The 22238-nt window shown below is 39.5% G+C and overlaps 1 protein-coding gene across 12 annotated transcripts in view; it reads left to right on the top strand.

Moving 5' to 3' along the window:
• Window positions 1–22238, top strand: part of PDE4D (phosphodiesterase 4D) — a 1553091-nt gene that overhangs the window by 183570 nt on the left and 1347283 nt on the right. Inside the window, exon 2 of one of the 12 annotated variants that reach the window (XM_017009566.1) lies at window positions 3429–3477. The exons of the other annotated variants lie outside the window; for them this stretch is intronic. The gene's annotated coding sequence lies outside the window, so the exon portion shown is untranslated. The remainder of the gene's footprint in view (window positions 1–3428; window positions 3478–22238) is intronic. 12 annotated transcript variants of the gene reach the window in all.

Raw genomic sequence — 22238 nt, 5'->3', positions numbered from 1 at the left:
TCCTTACCTCCCTGTGCATTCTGGCAGCCCCTGGCACTGCTCATAGATAGCCATGTGACTCAGGCTGGGACTCTGACTCTAGAGCGAATGGGTTAAAGGTCAAGAGGCTGTTAGAACTTATTGTTGGTGTCAGTGGTGGCGCCCATTGGCTTTCAGTGGCGGCGGCAGCAGCAGTGTCCTGGCTGTAATTCTTGCTACAGGATAGTGGTCGTGATTCTTGCTCCTTGGCATCTTGCGCGCCTGGGTTTTTGCTCATTTTCTGTCCTTAGTGATGAAGACTTCTACTGAGTCTGAACCTGCATGTCCTTCCAATGGAGTCTACTTTTTTCTCCTCCAGCTAGCCAAGGCCGGTTTCTGTTACGGCAAGCAAGAATTCCCACAGCACCTGAGTGTCAACGGCTTTCATCGTTTGTGCTGACCCACCTGTGCAGCTGATCGTCTGCCTTTTTTCTCCGGCTACTCACCTTCCTTTATCTACCTATATAACTCCCTGCTTTGAAGGCTGAACTCCAGCATTTTTAACTTTTCCTGAGTTATTGAAGAGACTTTACTGTTTACTATTCCTCTGTACAGTACAACATCTTATAATTGCCCATTATACAGATTTTTTTTACATTGTATGTCTTTTTTTTTATTATTATTTGTTTCTGTTTGCCTACTAGCCCATGAGGAATGTTTTTTGGTAGGAACTCTATTTTCATCTTTATAGTTCCAGATCCAGCTAAGATTACACTCTGGTTGCGTGACTGAACAAATCTGTTTGCAGGGAGAGATGTGGTGTTGGAATTGTGAACCTATGGAGAATGAAAAAAATAGAATAGCTGTTGTGAGGCATTTACTCTGGTGATACTAAGGGAGGAATAAAATGGTGTCTGAAATGTGTGAGGGCCGTCTGATACCGAGTAGTGTACATTTATTTTCCACTTAAAAAAGTCTGGTTTATTTAGGTATTATTTATTTACAGTAAAATCCATCCCTTTTATTGTAGAGTTCTATAAGTTTTGACAGATGCATATAGTCATGTGTATACCACCAGAATTAATGTATAGAACAGTTTGATCACCTCCCCTCAAAAGCTCTCCCTCCTTCTTATAGCCAGTGTCTCCCCACATCTTCAGCTCCTGGAAACAACTGATCTATGAATTGATATATGTGTGTGTGTGTGTGTGTATATATATATATATATATATATATATATATATATATAGTTTGTTTGTTTGTTTTTTGAGACAAAGTCTCTCTCTGTTGCCCAGGCTTGAGTGCAGCAGCACAATCTCAGCTTACTACAACCTCTACCCCCCGGGTTCAAGTGATTCTCCTGCCTCAGCCTCCCAAGTAGCTACGATTATAGGTGCCTGCCACCATGCCCAGCTAAATTTTTTTTTTTTTTTTTTGTATTTTCAGTAGAGACAGGGTTCACCATGTCGGCCAGGCTGGTCTCAAACTCCTGACCTCAGGTGATCCACCGGCCTTGGCATCCCAAAGTGCTGAGATTACAAGCATAAGCCACCACATCCAGCCTATCAATTTATATTTTAAGCAGTTATCATAGTTCTACAACTTTCCAGAATAATGTTTTATACACCAGGAAGATAAAATAATTGGATAGTGGATTTTTGTCTAGGAATAGAGTTGCTGAAATTAGGAAATTAAAATAACATGTATTTATACTAAAAATTATCCATTACTTATATAAAATTCAGTGTAATTGGGCATCCTGTATTTTATCTGGCAACCCAACCCAACCCCACTGGATGGGTATTGCCAGTGTGGGAACTGTTAGAATTGAGGGTAAGTGTGAAATTGGCAGACAGAGAAGGAAACTGCAAGAAGAGACCATGGATCCTATCAACAGAATCATTCAGCCATTCAGACACTTTGTGACAACCTAAAAAGAGAGGAGGGAGTGAGATTTTTGTATGAAGTAAGAATTCACTTGTTTGTACATGAACAGCATATGCTAGCCTGCTTTGAAGACTGAAGTTCTTGGCTTTCCAGTTTATAAACCAGTTCTATCTGGGCAGCTTGCAGCCAAATTGTGTTGTGGAGGAATGGGACTCAGGAAGCACGGGCACCCTGAAATAGGTGGATGTGGTCTGTGGAAAAGGTGGAAGCACACACTAGGGTTCTACCCTTAAGAAAATGAACCTTTGCTGAGTTATCAAAGTGAGTACTTGCTATTTCTCAGGATAGCCATGCCACAAACACATATTTACAGTAAAATTCAAGTTGGTAACAATTAAAATGACTGACCTCTAGTTTATCTATATATTATTGGAACAAAAGGGCTTACTGAGCAATGCCAAGGAAAGAAACTTCCAAGTGGGTTCTTCTTACTCTACATAAAAGAATAAACTATTTTAAAAGACTTTTGGCAAGTCCACTGTTTATACTACCATAAGTCTTACCTTTCTGTTTTAAAGCAAGCTTGGCAGGACAGTTACTTGGAAATAAGTTGTCAGTGTTTGGTCGGAGTGGTAGCAGTTGTGTCTGGAATTCTTCATTCTTTTCCTCGCTCTCCAATAACCTACCCTGTGAGGCTGTCTCCAACCCCAGAGCCCTGACCAAGTGACCATGCTGCTAAGCTGCTTGATAATAGTTTAATATCAGTAAAGGGACACAAGTTTAAAATTATTTGACATATTAGTGCTATCAGTTAATGACTTAAAAATAGCATCTTTGGTTTCTAGGTGTTGACAAAGATTCTCTAACTTACCAAACTTTAGCCATGCTCCTCTGAACCCCCTTCTTGACTAGGCCTTAACTTCCTATCACAACTACAGATTCTCAACACCAATGATTTCATCCACTCGTGCCCCACATTAAAAGACTTACACAAACACTAGAATAATTTCTAACAGCTCAAGGCCACATCCCTAGGACTACCCTACCCCACTTAGGATGCCTGCCTGAGGAAGCTCAAGGTTGCCAGGAGAGTTTACTATTTCTTCTAGCCAACACCCTGGAGCTAGGCCCAACCACCCTTTCTTAGAGCATTTACTAAAAAGGGCTTACAATTGTGAATCCTTGCCCTGTAACCTTTGATAAATATATGCACTTCCTACTGCTCAAGAGTGTCTTTCTCAAGGACCCAAGAGCCATTCTTCTAAAAAGTAACCATCAGGAGAGAGAGGGCCTCTGTCTTTTGGTATCTGGGCAGATAGAATCCTAACTCCCATAATTGTCTAATCAACTTTAATGTTGACCAACCCTTTGTAATTTTTCACTCTCTGACTTCACTGAGCCTGCTCTCACCCCTTCCCTTTTCTACTCTCTCATTCCTCTTCTGAAATACACAGTCTCCTCTGTGCAAATCAAGGTTGAGTTCAGTTCACACTGCACTCCCTTCCCTATTGCAATAGCGTATTAGTGGTTCAAATCTGTCCTCCCCACTTTAACTAGTGTCTGGCTTCCTTTATCTCTGACAGTGTGAAGAATTTGGAAATTGCAAGGAGCATGGGAAGGAGATGATTTGGGGTAGGCATCTTTTATTTTTTAAATCACATTGCATACAGGTGGCTGTCTCTTCTGCTCATACTCCTAGAACAGGCCTTTGGTGTATTTTGCTATATATAGGAGACTGGGACTAGAAGGTCACCCTGTTCAGCTGTTTTCAGACTATCATTAGGTTGTAAATGGAATCCATTAAAAAATTATATGGAATGCACAAAATAAAGCAGGTGAAGGCAAAATTACTCTTATGGAAACAGGGGTAGGAAATCTAGAATCGTATTTATTCCTTCTTTTCTCTTTATACTTATTTGGGGAGTCTTAGCCTCATTAAGAACAACTGGGAGGGTAAAACACAAGTTTACAAGAAAACTAGTTTCCTCCCTTTCAGAGTTCTTTCCATCCTGGCAGCTGAATGGACTCAGCAGCTCTCGGGGGCAGTGGCTTGAGTGTGCTGGGCTTGTGTCTCCTAAATAGGAAATACTACCCACAATGGGATAAAGGACCCACAGGGACTCTATAACTGGGGAATTAGAGGACACATCTTGTGTAATTCTGGCAGAAGGGCTAGGCATGAAGTCAGAGCAGGAGATGACTCAGAAATCCTGATGCTTAGAGACATTACCCTGTGGCTACTGGGATCACTGCGATGAACTTTGCCTGAGGTCTGTAATGTGATTTACAATAATTATTCTATTCCCTTACTCACTAGCTTGACAAGATGAACAAGTTAATGTTATTAGCTTCTCAAATTGGAAGATGATAATTATTAGGTGGGTCCATTGGGAGTCAGGCTGGGGTGAGTTGTTATCAAATCAGAAGGAGTTATCAGTAGGGCACTAGTAATCAATAATGATTGAATGTGGGCTACCAGAATTTGCCTTTTCATGATGTATACAGGACTTGTTTACATAACCAGGTCTTCAAGAAGATAAAATTAGGAAGACATCCAGATAACAGAAATGTGGAGAGACCTTGATATCATATTATGATTGAGAAAGAAAAAACACATAGACATTGACATTGGGAAGGAATGACTACATCCAGTTATGGCAGCAAAGCTGTGTGTTGATTGATATTGTGAGAATGAATCAGTGATTGGGCACTGTGGCTAGGACAGAAAGGGTGACCCTGAGAGCCACAGTGCTTTTGTGTGTGACAGCCATGAAGAAAGCTTATCTGGACTTGATATTGACCCGTTGTGTATTTCCGTATTTTTTCTCTCTTTTCTCTCCTTTTCCTCCACTCTTTCCCTCTTCTCTTTCAACCTCATGTTGAAAAAAAACCTGAAGTTTGCTTGTGGAAATGGGTGAGATTTGTGAGTTATGATGAATTGGAATTATTTGCAATCAAATGGAAAGTTGTAACAACAGGTGTGGATGGATGCAGCTCACACATAATGCATGTGGTGAATTGAGGAAGCTGGTAGAAGTTTGGGGCGTGATTGACAGGTTTAAATGTAGCAGAAATAGAGTAGTTGCTTTTGGCATTTTAGATTTTTAAATAATACTTTGTTCAGGCCACACATTAGTTAGTCAGACACAGAGTTGGAACCATATTTGGAACCTTCTGAGCCTCCACGTGGGCTTGTTCATCGTCCTTATGTTAGGGTGACAAGGTTCGGAGCTAAAACCAGAGAGAGAAAGCCACAGCAGAAGCCTCTTCCAGACCCACTGTGTCAGTTTTGAACTGAGGCATTTTCTGTCCACAGCCATATGCAGTGTGAACAGGCCACAGATGTACATCAAGTGAGTGGGTGAAATAACGTTTGGTGGGAAATGATGACAGTTTTATGGCATTAGTCCTTGAAGCCCCAGGTGCACTTATTCATCTTTAATATATTTTAAGCTGTTAGCCTTGGGGATATTTCAGCCTGTTTGCATCTGTATTTTAAAGATGAGCCCTGGAGTGAATCAGTGAGGGGAGCGAGTCATACCTGAACTAGGAGAAGAGATGAATGAATCTTTGTAGGAGAAGAGTTAAGTGGATCTAGTTATCCCTGAACAAGGAGAATATATCAGGGTAATGAAGAGACCTAGAGGAAGGTCATCGTTTCCTTTTAACCAGCCAGCTGGTTGACCTTCCTGCATCTGCCTTAGAGCCAGCCTTGGCCTGGGCAGCTTGCACCAAGCTTTGCATATGCCCCTTGGATGTCAGGATGCTATACCTGGATTATCCTGGCACAGAGCATGAATTATAATTCCTGATCTCAGCATATTCTACCCTTTGACTTCTCTGTTAGGGATTTTGACTCTTCTGCTTCTGACTTTTCGATGAATCATGTCTCCTTGACAGAGAGAAGGCTCTTTTTTTTAAAATGACTCATAGCCATATCTATATATAACCACTGAGTGATAAATAACTCATAGCCATAGCTACATATGGCCACTGAATTGAGTGATTAATAATTCTGTTGTTATAAATTTGAGTGAATATATTTTGGTCAATTATGTGGTTGTGGCTATAAAGATAGCTAATAATCTTTATTAGAATTTGGATACTGTTGATTTTTTTCTTGTAATTTTATAACTTCCATTTCCCTGTGGTACATATGCAGTGTGGAATACTATGCAGACATAAAAACAATAAAATCATGTCCTTTGTAGCAGCATGGATGCAGCTGGAACCCATTATCATAAATGAATTAATGTGAAAAACAGAAAACCAAATGTCCCATCTTTTCACTTATTAGTGGTAGCTGCTTATAAGTAACTGGACACACACAGACATAAAGATGGAAACAATAGATACTGGGGACTCCGAAAACAGAGAGGGAGGGGGGCAAGGGCTAAACAACTTCCTTTTGGATACTATGTTCACTATCTGGACAACAGGATCAATAGAAGCCCAAACCTTAGCATCATGCAGTGTATCCCTGTAACAAACCTGCATATGTACTCGCTGAATCTAAACTTTAAATTTAAATTTTAAAAAAAATTCAATGTTTGGACTTAGGCTTAAATTTCTAGAACTTTTTCCACCTCTAAGTTGTCATTATACAAAGTATGTTTAATAGTAGCTGGAAGAGTTATTTAAATCCACACACTAACAGCAACCACAGTGAATACGGTTTAGGTAATATTTTCTTTTATCCAACAGCTAGAGTGAGATGCACAGAACAATGAACAAGCACCTCAAGACCTTGGACTTGTTAGAGATTCAGAGTGAGTTTCAAAGCAAGAAAAGGCAGGAACATGAGTAGCATTCCTATAAAATAGCTACTGAAGCAGAGTAGCTAAGGAAAGATGATTGTTGTAGAAACACAATCAGTGAAATAGTCTGGTAGAAAGACTATTCCTTAAAATTCTTATACTCCCATAGAATTTACTTCTAAACCATACTGCCCTTAGACTTGAGCAACAATATTCCCTGCCCAGCCCTGCATTTCAGAGGATCCTAATTAAACCCTCCTCTTGCCTTCCCCTTCCCCACAGGGTGAGCATTCTGTAAGTCCAAGTAATCATATCCCCTAACCCTCCCATGTAAGCCATGGTCTGGGTATCTGGACTCTAGAATTTCCTGCCAGGGTAGTCCAAAACCAAGACACAGGTCTATCCTTCAGGGGGAAGTTTGCGTTCCACACAAAGGGAGGCCAAGGGGCAGGGAATGTGAATGAATGAGAAACCATGGCGTCCATACATAAGTTTGCAAATCTCAGTGAAAGAATAAGTTGGCATGAAGAGAAGGAGGGGTAGGAGAGAGCCTGGGGGCCAGCTTCTTCTGAATAAGTAAATTCTGGTGCAGGGCTTTTCTTAGGTGCGTTGCATATGTTACCTCATTTAATCCTGCAGAACACTTCAGGGTAGTGTTCTACTGTCACATTATGGGACAGGGAAATGAGGCTCAGGGGAGTTAAGTAACAGACCCAAGGCAACTGACTTGGTAAGAAGTTGAGCTGAGATTAAACCTTAGGTGATTGAGCTCTAAAGTGCATGTATTTTTCTACCTTGTTATGCTGCCTGTGATCAGTATCTTTGCTTTTATAATTTCCCAGTTCTTTCCAGAACCTAGCCTGGTCCTTGCACTTGGTGACATGCAATAAATATTTGCTGAGTAACTAACAAAACAGACCATTTATTCACCTTTACTAGTTATTTATTATTTATGTATTTATTCACCTTTACTATTAATGGTATATACAATACAACAGTGGTGTAGGTGAGGAATTTCATGTCAAATATACTGAAAGGGACAGTTCACTCCTGATCCATCTGTACTGGATGGATGTGTTGATCTCCCTGTGGCCATGTAGCTTTTGGGCTTATCTCTCCATTTGTCAGTTTAGTAAATTGCTGCAAATGTTCTGGCTAGCAAGGACTCAAATGTCCCAGAACAAACTTTTGCTCAAAGAAAATATTAATAAACACCATATATGCTTCTGTAGTCCAAAATGTTTTTCTTTTCTTACTTAAAAATGGCACAAACTCTGAGTATTAAGGTGATTCAAGAAGTTGTGAGAATGCCTGTTTCTCAGGAGTTGATTGGCAGGGTCCCTCTGTTGGTGCGGCCCTGCTTGTCTGGGCTGTAGTTCTTCCATGTGTGTGGGCCACCCATGCTGGCTCCTGGAATGGTCAGTGTGCTGTCCTGGGGCTTGGTCTTTCCCTCCGCTCACCCCCACTTATCATGGATGCCAAGACCATTCTCTGCTGTTGGCAGAAAGCCATGGAACATACTTCCCTAATTCCTGCTATAGGCTCATTTGGTATTTTCCCCATGTGCTCCCATTTGTACACTTAATTGTTTGGGCTTATTTGTCTGTCTTCCTTGCTAAACTGTAGGCTCATTTGCGCACAGGCTTTGTGTCTCTCTTGTTTACCATTATATCATCACATCTAACACAATGCCTGGTACATAGAATACTTAATGAATTTTTACAGAATGACAATGGACTGCCATCATAATTGAGTCATTAACTACTTTTTCAAAAAAGTTCTAGCATTAAGGTATCAGATCAAAGTTTCCTTTCACAAAAATCTTACATTTTCCTCTATACTGTAATTGTATCTACCTGCTTGGAGACTCACCAAGAGTGTAGTCACTGTGTACCCTCCCAGAGTGACTTTTTTTATCTCATTTAGAACTATTTGTTACTGTGATTCTCTTAAGCAAATGGTTTTGCCCACGCAGAGCTGTTTGCTCACTGACACAGGCTTAACTGGTTAAAGAACTCACAGGTTGTTTCTCACCATTAATGGCTATTATGTTATTTTACCATCAGTTATACCTCATTTCTGCTTCTATCTTTACAACTGCAGGCTTTGGTCATTTTTAAAGTCGTTCAAGTTTAGATTGCATTGACATTAAATCAAATCATAGAGGACAAACAACTATATATTTTCACCGAGAGTGGGCACAGTAAAGAGTTCCCAGGCTTTCTCTCCGACTTTTAGATAGGTCTTTTTCAGAAGCTTCCTATCTCCCTAAGAAGTCTGAGAGTTATTACAATTTCTTTACCCTTTGCTTACATATCCCATCACATAGAAAACCATTTAATAGAATCTATTGTAGCAGAGGCAGAACTTTACCTCTGCTCTCATAGAGTCCCAGGTAGAACTGATGGTGAAATTGACATAAGGTAGATTAATAGGTACATTAGTCCATTCTCATGCTGCTAATAAAGACATACCTGAGACTGGGTAATGTATAAAGGAAAGAGGTTTAATTGACTCACAGTTCTGAAGGTCTGAGGAGGACTCAGGAAACCTACAATCATGGTGGAAGGGGAAGCAAACATGTCCTTCTTTACATGGTGGCAGCAAGGAGAAGTGCTGAGCGAAGCAGGGGAAGTGCCCTTTGTAAAACCATCAGATCTCATGAGAACTCACTCACCATTATAAGAACTGCATGGAAGTAACCCCCCACCCATGATTCAATGACCTCCTACTGGGTCCCTCTCATGACACATGGGGATTATGGGAACTACAGTTTAAGATGAGATTTGGGTGGGGACACCACTAAACCACATTAATAGGATAAAAGCATGTAAGTTTTACATAACACAGGAGCCCTCATAAGGAAATGAAGACCCAAACAAGTGGCCAAACCTAAATGCTTTTATACTTGGTTGAACAAAGAGAGACGACTGTGAAAAAGTAACTAAATTATGTGGGAAGACTAAAGGAAGATCAATAAGAATTATTTTAACAAGGTCTGTGTGTACAGAATTCTCTTAGTTGTGACTCCCCATCAAAGAATGTTTCTTTTCTCCTGGCAGAAAGACAGCAACTTTCACATGTGAGATTTTATCTCCTGTTTTCAGGGAAAAAAGGGAAAAGATTAGGGTGCGCTTTTTGCATCTGCTGTTATTCAAGTGCCCTTAGTTCAAACTAATCCTTATACCAAAATGGCATATTCTGGGGTACATATTCTGCCATTCTTCACTACTAAATAACAGAACATATGCTTACCTATGTACTAGCTATTTCATTTCTGGTATGTGCCAAACAGAAACATATATGCATGAGCCCAAAAAAATCTACAAAATCTTTATACCAGCATTATTTGTAATAATCCAAATGGAAAACAGTCCAAGTTTCCATCAACAGAAGAATGCATACCTAAACTGCCATATAGCAAATATATAGTGAAATATTATACAGCAATGAAAATGAAACAGTAGTTTTACTGCTATAGGCAACAATATAGATGAATATAATAAACATAATGTTGACTAAATCAATTAAAAAAGAGTACATACTGAATGACTTGATTCCATTTGTATAAAGTTCAAAAATTGGTCAGATAATATTGCCATTTGGGAGATAATAACTGGGATCCTGTCTTTTTCCCTTGGAGAGCTAGAAGAATGGACTCTTCTCAGAAAGGTGACCAAAACTTCATAAAATCTCCTTTCCCCAGAACATTATTATTTACTTACCTAGGTGCTGCCAACCACACCCCATTGTGTCCCTTTAGTCATTGTATGGAAGGAGGTCAAATGCCTTAGTCTCCCAGTGACTAGAGCTAGATATCCAGCCATATGAACAGTTTGTTAAAACCAGGACTCTGAATTCTAATGCCCAATAAGGAGGGTTGTACTTTTGTGAAAATAGGCTGGTGACAATTATCTGAGGTCAGAGGAAAGATTCTGTCATCATCATTGTCATGATCATAATTCTTATTTTGGTTTCTTTACTCATGTTTTTAAAAATTATATTTGTAGAAGCTATTATGTTAGGTTTAATAGAAATGTAGAAAAAACATAAAAATCATTTGCTCAGTGTGATGAATTTTCATATACTGAATATATCCATGTAACTTCCACATAAATGTTTGCGATACTCATCTATATTGTTGCCTGTAACAGTAAAACTACTGTTTCATTTTCATTGCTGTATAATATTTCACTATATGTTTGCTATATGGCAGTTTAGGTATGCATTCTTCTGTTGATGGAAACTTGGACTGTTTTCCATTTGGACTATTACAAATAATGCTGGTAGAAACATTTTTGTAGATTTGTTTTGGCTCGCACATACACGTTTCTGTTTGGCATATACCAGAAATTAAATAGCTGGTACATAGGTAAGCATATGTTCTGTTATTTAATATTGAAGGATGGCAGAATATGCACCCCAGAATATGCCATTTTGGTATAAGGATTAGTTTGAACTAAGGGCACTTGAATAACAGCAGATGCAAAAAGGGCAGTCTAATCATTTTCTTTTTCTTCCCCCTGAAAACAGGAGATAAAAACTCACATGTGAAAGTTGCTCTCCTACTACCAAGAGAAAAGAAACATTCTTTGACAAGGAGTCATAGCCAGAAGAATCCTGTACACACAGACCTTGTTAAAATATTCTTATTGATCTTCCTTTAGTCTTCACACGTAATTTAGTTACTTTTCCACAATTGCCTCTCTTTGTTCAACCAAGTATAACAGCATTTAGGTTTGGCCACTTGTTTGGGTCTTCATTTCCTTATGAGGGCTCCTGTGTCATGTAAAAGTTATGTGCTTTTCTCCTATTAATCTATCTTATGTCAATTTCATTATCAGGTCTACCTGGGACTCTAAGAGAGCAGAGGTGAAATTTTGCCTCTGCTACAGTAGGTTCTATTAAACGGTTTTCTATGGCATGGGATATGTAAGCAGGGGATAAAGAAATTGTAATAACTCTCAGACTTCTTAGGGAGTTAGGAAGCTTCTGAAAAAGACCTATCTAAAAGTAGGAGAGAAAGCCTGGGAACTTTTTACTGTGTCTACCTCAGTGAAAATACATAGTTGTTTGTCCTCTATAATTTGATTTAATGTCAATGCAATCTAAACTTGAACGACTTTAAAAATGACCGAAGCCTGCAGTTCTAAAGATAGAAGCAGAAGTAAGGTATAACTGATGGTAAAACAATATAATATCTGTTAATAGTGAGAAACAATCTGTGAGTTCTTTAACCAGTTAAACCTGTGTCAGTGAGCGAATAGCTCTGTGTGGGCAAAACCATTTGCTTAAGAGAATCACAGTAACAAATAGTAGTTCTAAATGAGATAAAAAGTCATAAGAAACATTATGTACCTGATGGAATGTTTCAGGTGAAATTGGGTCACTCGACTGGTTGTTCATCCTTACTTAATTCTTAAAATTTTCTGATGGCCTAAGAGTGAAAGTTTCTGAATTTAGCTGATCATATTTTAGGAAAAACACAGGACAAAATTTAAGTTGCTGAATTAAAGTGTCTAGTGTTATCCCTGATTTTAGGCAAGTCCTTATACTTATCTTTTACCTTTAAAGGAGAGTCAGAGATACCTAGCAGAATGGTTAAATAAAAAGTAATGACAAGAGCAAATGCTTGCAAGGTTGTGGAGAAACTGGGCCACTCATACATGGATAATGGGAATGTAAAATAGTACAGGCACTCTGGAAAAGAGTTTGGCAGTTTCTTAAAAAACTAAACATGTAAGTACTACACTATCCAGTAAATGCACTCCTGGGCATTTATCCCAGAGAAATAAAGACTTCTGTGTTCACAGAAAAACCTGTATGTAAGTGTTTATAGCAGTCTTATTTATAATCGCCTAAAACTGGAAGCAACACAGATGTCCTTCAGTGGGTGAATGATTAAACAAACTGTGGTACATCTACACCACGGAATACTACTCAGCAATAAAAGAAACAAACTACTGATACATACAATGATCTAGATGAATCTTGAGAGAATTATGCTGAATGGAAAAAGCCAATCCCCAAGGGTTGCATACTATATGATTCAAATTATATAACATTGTTGAAATGACAAAATTATGAAATGGAAAACAGATTAGTGTAGATTAGTAGTTGCTAGGGATTAAGAAGGGAAGGAATAGGAGGAAACTGGGTGTGGCTATTAGAGGGGCAACATGGGAGATCCTGCTGATAATGGAACTGTTTTATATCTTGACCATATCAATGTCAATATATTGGTTGTGATATTATTACCATGGGGGAAAACTGGGTAAAAGATACACTGATTTTGTATTATTTTTTATAACTGCATGTGAATCTACAATTATCTCAAAATAAAAAAATAAAAAATAAAGTACAAGAGAGTCAGGGAAAGTTCTATGTAGTTTCTCTTAGATCAGTTTTTATTTTTTAAACAGTTACCCATCCGTTTCTTAAATCTTATGGATTGTTATTAAAGGAAGGCCACTGCCTCTGCTTTCCATTAAGGACAATATCAATCATCAAAGACATCTACAAAGTTTCTGAAATTCTTCATGCAGACTTTCAGGGGACCATTAGATCATATTATTTTACCTGTAGGGATATATACAATCAGGCACAAATCTTAGATCTTTAAGAAGCAGTATAGCTGAACTGCTGCTTAAATAAGTGGGAGGTTGGTTGAGGTTATTTTCCCCCTATAATTGCTTTTCTTCTGTCCCAGAAGAACCTGTCAGACCAGTCATTAAGCTATTGTTTAGTTCTCATTTGGCTTAGGTGGTTCAGGGATCAGCTTAGGGAATAATAGAGGCAATGTAATGAATCTTAGTGGGAATAAAGTGATTGAGAATTTTGGTTTGTTTTTAAGGCTTAGAATATAATATCCATTCTCTAGTTCCATGACTGCCCCAATGCAATTCTTTTTGAAATGCTGTAACTTATAGCCTGGGGAGCCTCACCATGTTCTTTTAGTTTTTTCCTCTTCTATGTCATTGTGCACAGGATCTTCCAGCTTTTGGGTTACCATGTCTTTGAGTTTTCTAGTCTGAATAAGATCTCTTTAGAAATCATATTTTTCTGAGAGCTATAGTTGACTATACTTTGTTTTCTGTTGTTTCATAGGATTATCTCACAAATCCTACGGTGAAACCATATGAGGTTCACAGTAACCATATGAGGCGTAGGTATTATCACCTCCATTTTATACAGACTTAAGGAAGCTAAGTAATTTGTCCCTGGTCATGTATGTGACAGAACCAGAATTTGAGTTCAGAAAGCTAACTTCACAGTCTACACAGTTAGCCTCTCTTTATTTTTGTTTTTGTCTTTGTTTTGAGACGGAGTCTCGCTCTGTCATCCATGCTGGAGTGCAGTGGCACCATCTTTGCTCACTGCAACCTCTGCTTCCTGGGTTCAAGTGATTCTCCCGCCTCAGCCTCCCTGATAGCTGGGACTACAGGTGCACAGTACCATGCCTGGAGTTAGCCTCTCTTTATACAATACAGCATCTTTGAGTTGGGATTGACAGTTCTGTTCTTTCAAGAGACACTTTTTGAGACCTGTCATCTTTTAGGCACTGTGCTGGGTCCTATGGATAAAAAACTACTGAACATGATTCCTGTAACAGAGATGCTCCTAGTTTATTATAAGGACAGATGTTAGGTGCAGTGTGAAAAATAAAATGTTAGACAAACAATCTCTTACAGTCTCGAAAATATTCAAATTCAGACTATTTTAGAGACAGCACATCCCTGAGAACAAAATAGTAAATAGTCAATTTATTCATTTGTTCATTCACCCAACAAAAATTCTTTTGAGTGTTTGCAATATGTTGGGTGCTAAGCTAAGTCTTGGAGATAGAGTGGTAAAGGAAACAGATGAGGTCCTGCCCTTATAGAGCTTATTTACCTTTTAGTGAGGCATTTACTTAATCAAACGTTCATAGAAATAAACAGAAAATTGGAGCTGACAAGCACCGTCAAAGACAGACACATGGTGCTACCAGAGGAAATTAATGAGAGAGTTAGTTCTTGTTGGGGCCATATTACCTCAGAGGGAATAGCTCAGAAGTAAATAGGCATTAACTAGGTAAAGAATGGGAGCAGGGGGCAGAGGAGACAAAACCCTGTAGCAGATCAGGGCACTGAAATTCCGAGAACTGAAAGAATGCCAGAGAGACCTCAGGAGAGAGAGGCTGCGGGTGGGGGGTGGAGGGTGGTAATCATGCTAATTGAAGCCCAAGAGACATCCAGAGGCCAGACAAAGCAAGGCTTTGGGGTGGTAGTAAGGATATTTAATCCCAAGAACAAAGGAAAGTCACTGAAAATAACTGAGTGACAAAGTCATATTTGTTATTTAGACAGCTCTTTTTAGCTTGGCACATAAGTATTGGTGAGAAGCCAAGGTATGCTGGGGAAAGACCAGCAGAGAATTGCTGAAGTTACAAGGCCAGATATGATAGAGCTTTGGCTAGAGCTGTGGTATAAGGATGGAGGGAAGTGGAGGGGTATCAGATGTAGTTGGGAGGTAAGGGAAGAAATCAGTGATAGATTAAACAAAAGCCAGGGGAACAAAAGAGTAAGGTTGATACTAAGTTTATCTGACAGTTGGTGGTACCATTTACTGGGATAGGGACATTGGAAGCAGATCAGATTTGGAAGGCAGATTTTGAATTCAATTTTGGATATGTTTGGTTTAGGGTGACTTTGAGAGGGAGAAAAGAAACATCAAGTAGACACTTAAGTCTGTGTCTGGAGCCTAGAGTGGAGGTCCACACTGGAGATACACCCGTGTGTATCATAAGTGTACAGGTGGTACATGACATCATGGCCATAGATGCCACTGCCTAGAGATACACAAAAGAGTGAGAAGAAAGGAGAGTCTGGAACCAAGCTTTAAGGAACTTAATCTCACATCTATGTGAACGAAGATCAACCTACAGAGGAGATGGAAGAATATCACAAAGATAGGTAGAGTTACAAAAATGAAAGGATGATATATTTTGATAAAGATCGGATGGTCAGCAATATAAAATGCTGCTCAAATAACAGGTTTAAACCAGTTCTTTGGAGTTATTGACATGGAAGTCATTGGCAACTTTAGCGAAAGCTATTTTATGAGGAAAAAGGTAGACTGGAGTGAAGAGTGAGTGAGGACTGGAAAATTGGATGCAATGAGAACAGAGAGACAAAACTTATAAGAAGAGAAGAACAGGACATGTAGGATTTGGGGAAGACTTTCTAGATAAGATGGAAGAGACTTGAGTATGCTTAAAAGCCATTGGTAAAGACTTAATTGACAGGGCTCTGACAGCTATTTCAGAGAGAAAATAGGTAACGGGTAGTGTTAGCTCATGAGAAGGGGAATAAGCAGAAAGGGATTTGCGGAAGTGCCCTTAATTGCATGGTTGGTATGAGAAAGATAAGAGAATTCACCTACTGGGAATTATATCTTCCTGTAAGGTTGGAGACAGTATTATTGGCTGAAGGTGAGGGGACAAGAAAGAGAGGTAAAGGTGTGAAAAGAGCTGAAAAAGTTTGAAATATGTTAGGGTTTTGTGTGTGTGTGTGTGTGTGTGTGTGTGTGTGTGTGTGTGTGTGTGTGTATGTGTGTCCATATATATTCAATGTTTAGCTCCCACTTGTGAGAACATGCAGCATTTGGTTTTCTGTTCCTACATTTGTTCACTTAGCATAATGGCCTCCAGCTTCAACCATGTTGCTGCAAAGGACATGATCTCATTTTTTATGGCTGCATAGTATTCCATGGTGTATATATAGCACATTTTCTTTATGCAGTCCACCACTGATGGACATTTAGGTTGAGTCCATGTCTTTGCTATTGTGAATAGTGCTGTGATGAACATATGCATACATGTGTCTTTATGGTAGAATTATTTATATTCCTTTGGGTATAAACCCAATAATGGGGTTGCTGGGTTAAATGGTAGTTCTGACTTAATTTCTCGGAGAAATTACCAAACTGCTTTCCACAATGGCTGAACTAAATTACATTCTCACAAGCAGTGTGTAAGCGTTCCCTTTTATCTGCAACCTTGCCAGCAAATTAAAAAAAAAAACAGTATTTTTTGACTTTTTAATCATAGCCATTCTGACTGGTGTGAGATAGTATCTTATTGTGGTTTTGATTTGCATTGGCCTAATGATTACTGATGTTGAACATTTTTACATATTTGTTGGTTGTGTGTATGTCTTCTTCTGAAAAATGTCTGTTCATGTCCTTTGCTCACTTTGTGATGGGGCTGTTTTTTGCTTGTTAATTTGTATAAGTTCCTTATAGATGCTGGATATTAGACCTTTGTCAGATGCATAGTTTGCAAATATTTTCTCCCATTCTGCAGGTTGTCTGTTTAGTATATTGATAGTTTCTTTTGCTGTGCAAAAGCTCATTAGTTTAATTAGATACCATTTGTCAATGTTTTATTTTTGTTGCAATTGCTTTTGGCATCTTTGTCATGAAATCTTTGCCAAGACCAAAGTCCAGAATGGTATTTTGTTGGTTATCTTCCAGCATTTGTATAGTTTTAGGTTTTACATTTAAGGCTTTAATTCATCTTGGGTTAATTGTTGTATATGATATAAAAAAGAGGTCCAGCATCAATCTGCATTTGGCTAGTTAGTTATCCTAGCACCATTTATTGAACAGGGAATCCTTTCCCCATTGCTTGTCTTTGTTGACTTTGTCAAAGATCAGATGATTTTACGTGGGTGGTATTATTTCTGGGCTCTCTAGTCTGTTCCATTGGTCTATATGTCTGTTTTTGTACCTGTATCATGCTGTTTTGGTTACTGTTGACTTGTATAGTTTGAAGTCAGATAATACGATGCCTCTAGCTTTATTCATTTGCTGAGGATTACCTTAGCTATTCAGGCTCTTTTTTGGTTCCATATGAATTTTAAAATGGGTTTTTCAAATTTTTTGGAAAATGTCATTGGTAGTTTGACAGGAATGGCATTGAATCCGTAAATTGCTTTGGGCAATATGACCGTTTTAACAACATTGATTCTTCCTACACATGATGGTTGAATTTTTTTTATTGGATTGTGTTATTTCCGATTTCTTTGAGCATTGTTTTGTAATTCTCATTGTAGAGATTTTTCACCTCCCTGGTTAGCTGTATTCCTAAGTATTTTATTTATTTTGTGGCTATTGTAGGATTGTGTTCTTGATTTGGTTCTCAGCTTGGATGTTATTGGTGCATAGAAATGCTACCGATTTTTGAATATTGATTTTGTATACTGAAACTTTGCTGAAGTTGTTTATCAGATCTAGGAGGTTTTGGGCAGAGACTATGGGGTTTTCTAGGTATAAAATCATACTGACTGGTGGAGCCAAGATGGCTGAATAGGAACAGCTCCAGTCTAAAGCTCCCAGCGTGAGCGATGCAGAAGATGGGTGATTTCTGCATTTCCAACAGAGGTACCAGGTTCATCTCACTGGGGAGTGTCGGAAAGTGGGTGCAGGACAGTGGGTGCAGTGCACCGAGTGTGAGCCAAAGCAGGGCGAGGCATCACCTCACCCAGGAAGCATAAGGGGTCAGGGAATTCCCTTTCCTAGTCAAAGAAAGGGGTGACAGACGGCATCCGGAAAATCAGGTCACTCCCACCGTAATACTGCACTTTTCCAACAGTCTTAGCAAATGGCACACCAGGAGATTATATCCCGTGCATGGCTCAGAGGGTCCTATGCCCACGGAGCCTTGCTCATTGCCAGCACAGCAGTCTGAGTTCAAACTGCAAGGCGGCAGCAAGGCTGGGGGAGGGGCTCCCGCCATTGCCCAGGCTTGAGTAGGTAAACAAAGCGGCTGGGAAGCTCGAACTGGGTGGAGCCCACTACAGCTCAAGGAGGCCTGCCTGCCTCTGTAGACTACACCTCTGGGGGCAGGGCATAGCCAAACAAAAGGCAGCAGAATCCTCTGCAGACTTAAATGTCCCTGTCTGACAGCTTTGAAGAGAGTAGTGGTTCTCCCAGCACGCAGCTGGAGATCTGAGAACGGACAGACTGCCTCCGCAACTGGGTCCCTGACCCCCAGTAGCCTAACTGGGAGGTACCCCCCAGTAGGGGCAGACTGACACCTCACACGGCTGGGTACTCCTCTTAGACAAAACTTCCAGAGGAACGATCAGGCAGCAACATTTGCTGCTCACCAATATCCACTGTTCTGCAGCCTCTGCTGCTGATACCCAGGGAAACAGGGTCTGGAGTGGACCTCCAGCAAACTCCAACAGACCTGAAGCTGAGGGTCCTAACTGTTAGAAGGAAAACTAACAAACAGAAAGGACATCCACACCAAAACCTCATGTGTACGTCACCATCATCAAAGACCAAAGGTAGATAAAACCACAAAGATAGGGAAAAAACAGAGCAGAAAAACTGGAAACTAAAAATCAGAGCACCTCTCCTTCTCCAAAGGAACGCAGCTCCTCATCAGCAACGGAACAAAGCTGGATGGAGAATGACTTTGACGAGTTGAGAGAAGAAGGCTTCAGACAATCAAACTACTCTGAGCTAAAGGAGGAAGTTCGAAGCCATGGCAAAGAAGTTAAAAACCTTGAAAAACGATAAGACGAATGGCTAACTAGAATAACCAATGCAGAGAAGTCCTTAAAGGACCTGATGGAGGTGAAAACCAAGGCATGAGAACTACGTGACCAATGCACAAGCCTCAGTAGCCGATTTGATCAACTGGAAGAAAGGGTATCAGTGATGGAAGATCAAATGAATGAAATGAAGTGAGAAGAGAAGTTTAGAGAAAAAAGAATAAACAGAAACAAACAAAGCCTCCAAGAAGTATGGGACTATGTGAAAAGACCAAATCTATGTCTGATTGGTGTACCTGAAAGTGATGGGGAGAATGGAATCAAGTTGGAAAACACTCTGCAGGGTATTATCCAGGAGAACTTCCCCAATTTAGCAAGGCAGGCCAACATTCAAATTCAGGAAATACAGAAAATGCTACAAAGATACTCCTCAAGAAGTGCAACTCCAAGACACATAATTGTCAGATTCACCAAAGTTGAAATGAAGGAAAAAATGTTAAGGGCAGCCAGAGAGGAAGGTCGGGTTACCCACAAAGGGAAGCCCATCAGACTAACAGCAGATCTCTTGGCAGAAACTCTACAAGCCAGAAGAGAGTGGGGGCCAATATTCAACATTCTTAAAGAAAAGAATTTTCAACCCAGAATTTCATATCCAGCCAAACTAAGCTTCATAAGTGAAGGAGAAATAAAATCCTTTACAGACAAGCAAATGCTGAGAGATTTTGTCACCACCAGGGCTGCCCTAAAAGAGCTCCTGAAGGAAGCACTAAACATGGAAAGGAAAAACCAGTACCAGCCACTGCAAAAACATGCCAAATTGTAAAGACCATCAAGGCTAGGAAGAAACTGCATCAACTAACAAGCAAAATCACCAGCTAACATCATAATGACAGGATCAAATTCACACATAACAATATTAACCTTAAATGTAAATGGGCTAACTGCTTCAATTAAAAGACACAGACTGGCAAACTGGATAAAGAGTCAAGACCCATCAGTGTGCTATATTCAGGAAACCCATCTCACGTGCAGAGACACACATAGGCTCAAAATAAAGGGATGGAGGAAGATCTACCAAGCAAATGGAAAGCAAAAAAAGGCAGGGGTTGCAATCCTAGTCTCTGATAAAACAGACTTTAAACCAACAAAGATCAAAAGAGACAAAGAAGCCCATTACATAATGGTAAAGGGATCAATTCAACAGGAAGAGCTAACTATCCTAAATATATATGCACCTAATACAGGAGTACCCAGATTCATAAAGCAAGTCCTTAGAGACCTAGAAAGAGACTTAGACGCCCATACAATAATGGGAGACTTTAACACCCCACTGTCAACATTAGACAGATCAACGAGACAGAAAGTTAACAAGGATGTCCAGGAATTGAACTCAGCTCTGCACCAAGCAGACCTAATAGACATCTACAGAACTCTCCACCCCAAATCTACAGAATATACATCTTCTCAGTACCACACCGCACTTATTCCAAAATTGACCACATATTTGGAAGTAAAGCTCTCCTTAGCAAATGTAAAAGAACAGAAATTATAACAAACTGTCTTTCAGACCACAGTGCAATCAAATCAGAACTCAGGATTAAGAAACTCACTCAAAACTGCACAACTACATGGAAACTGAGCAACCTGCTCCTGAATGACTAATGGGTACATAATGAAATGAAGGCAGAAATAAAGATGTTCTTTGAAACCAATGAGAACAAAGACACAACATACCAGAATCTCTGGGATACATTCAATGCAGTGTGTAGAGGGCAATTTATAGCACTAAATGCCCACAAGAGAAAGCAGGAAAGATCTAAAATGGACACCCTAACATCACAATTAAAAGAACTAGAGAAGCAAGAGCAAACACATTCAAAAGCTAGCAGAAGGCAAGAAATAACTAAGATCAGAACAGAACTGAAGGAAATAAAGACACAAAAAACCCTTCAAAAAATCAATGAATCCAAGAGCTGGTTTTTTGAAAAGATCAACAAAATTGATAGACCACTAGTAAGACTAATAAAGAAGAAAAGAGAGAAGAATCAAATAGATGCAATAAAAAATAATAAAAGGGATATCACCACTGATTCCACAGAAATACAAACTACCGTTAGAGAATACTATAAACACCTCTATGCAAATAAACTAGAAAATCTAGAAGAAATGGATCAAGTCCTGGACAAATACACCCTCCCAAGACTAAACCAGGAAGAAGTTGAATCTCTGAATAGACCAAAAACAGACTCTGAAATTGAGGCAATAATTAATAGCTTATCAACCAAAAAAAGTCCAGGACCAGATGGATTCACAGCTGAATTCTACCAGAGGTACAAGGAGGAGCTGGTACCATTCCTTCTGAAACTGTTCCAATCAATAGAAAAAGAGGGAATCCTTCCTAACTCATTTTCTGAGGCCAGCATCATTCTGATACCAAAGCCTGGCAGAGACACAACAAAAAAAGAGAATTTTAGACCAATATCCCTAATGAACATCAATGCAAAAATCCTCAATAAAATATTGGCAAACCGAATCCAGCAGCACATCAAAAGCTTATCCACCATGATCAAGTCTGCTTCATCCCTGGGATGCAAGGCTGGTTCAACAGACGCAAATCAGTAAACATAATCCAGCATATAAACAGAACCAATGACAAAAACCATATGATTATCTCAATAGATGCAGAAAAGGCCTTTGACAAAATTCAACAGCCCTTCATGCTAAAAACTCTCAATAAATTAGGTATTGATGGGACGTATCTCAAAATAATAAGAGCTATCTATGACAAACCCACAGCCAATATCATACTGAATGGGCAAAAACTGGAAGCATTCCCTTTGAAAACTGGCACAAGACAGAGGGATGCCCTCTCTCACCACTCCTACTCAACATAGTGTTAGAAGTTCTGGCCAGGACAATCAGGCAGGAGAAAGAAATAAAGGGTATTCAATTAGGAAAACAGGAAATCAAATTGTCTTTGTTTCCAGATGACATGATTGTATATCTAGAAAACCCCATCGTCTCAGCCCAAAATCTCCTTAAGCTGATAGGCAACTTCAGCAAAGTCTCAGGATACAAAATCAATGTGCAA

Source organism: Homo sapiens, chromosome 5 (assembly GCF_000001405.40).
Source record: "Homo sapiens chromosome 5, GRCh38.p14 Primary Assembly".
NCBI lineage: Eukaryota > Metazoa > Chordata > Mammalia > Primates > Hominidae > Homo > Homo sapiens.
The sequence above is the reverse complement of the archived record's forward strand: the minus strand, read 5'-3'. Positions and strand labels throughout refer to the sequence as shown.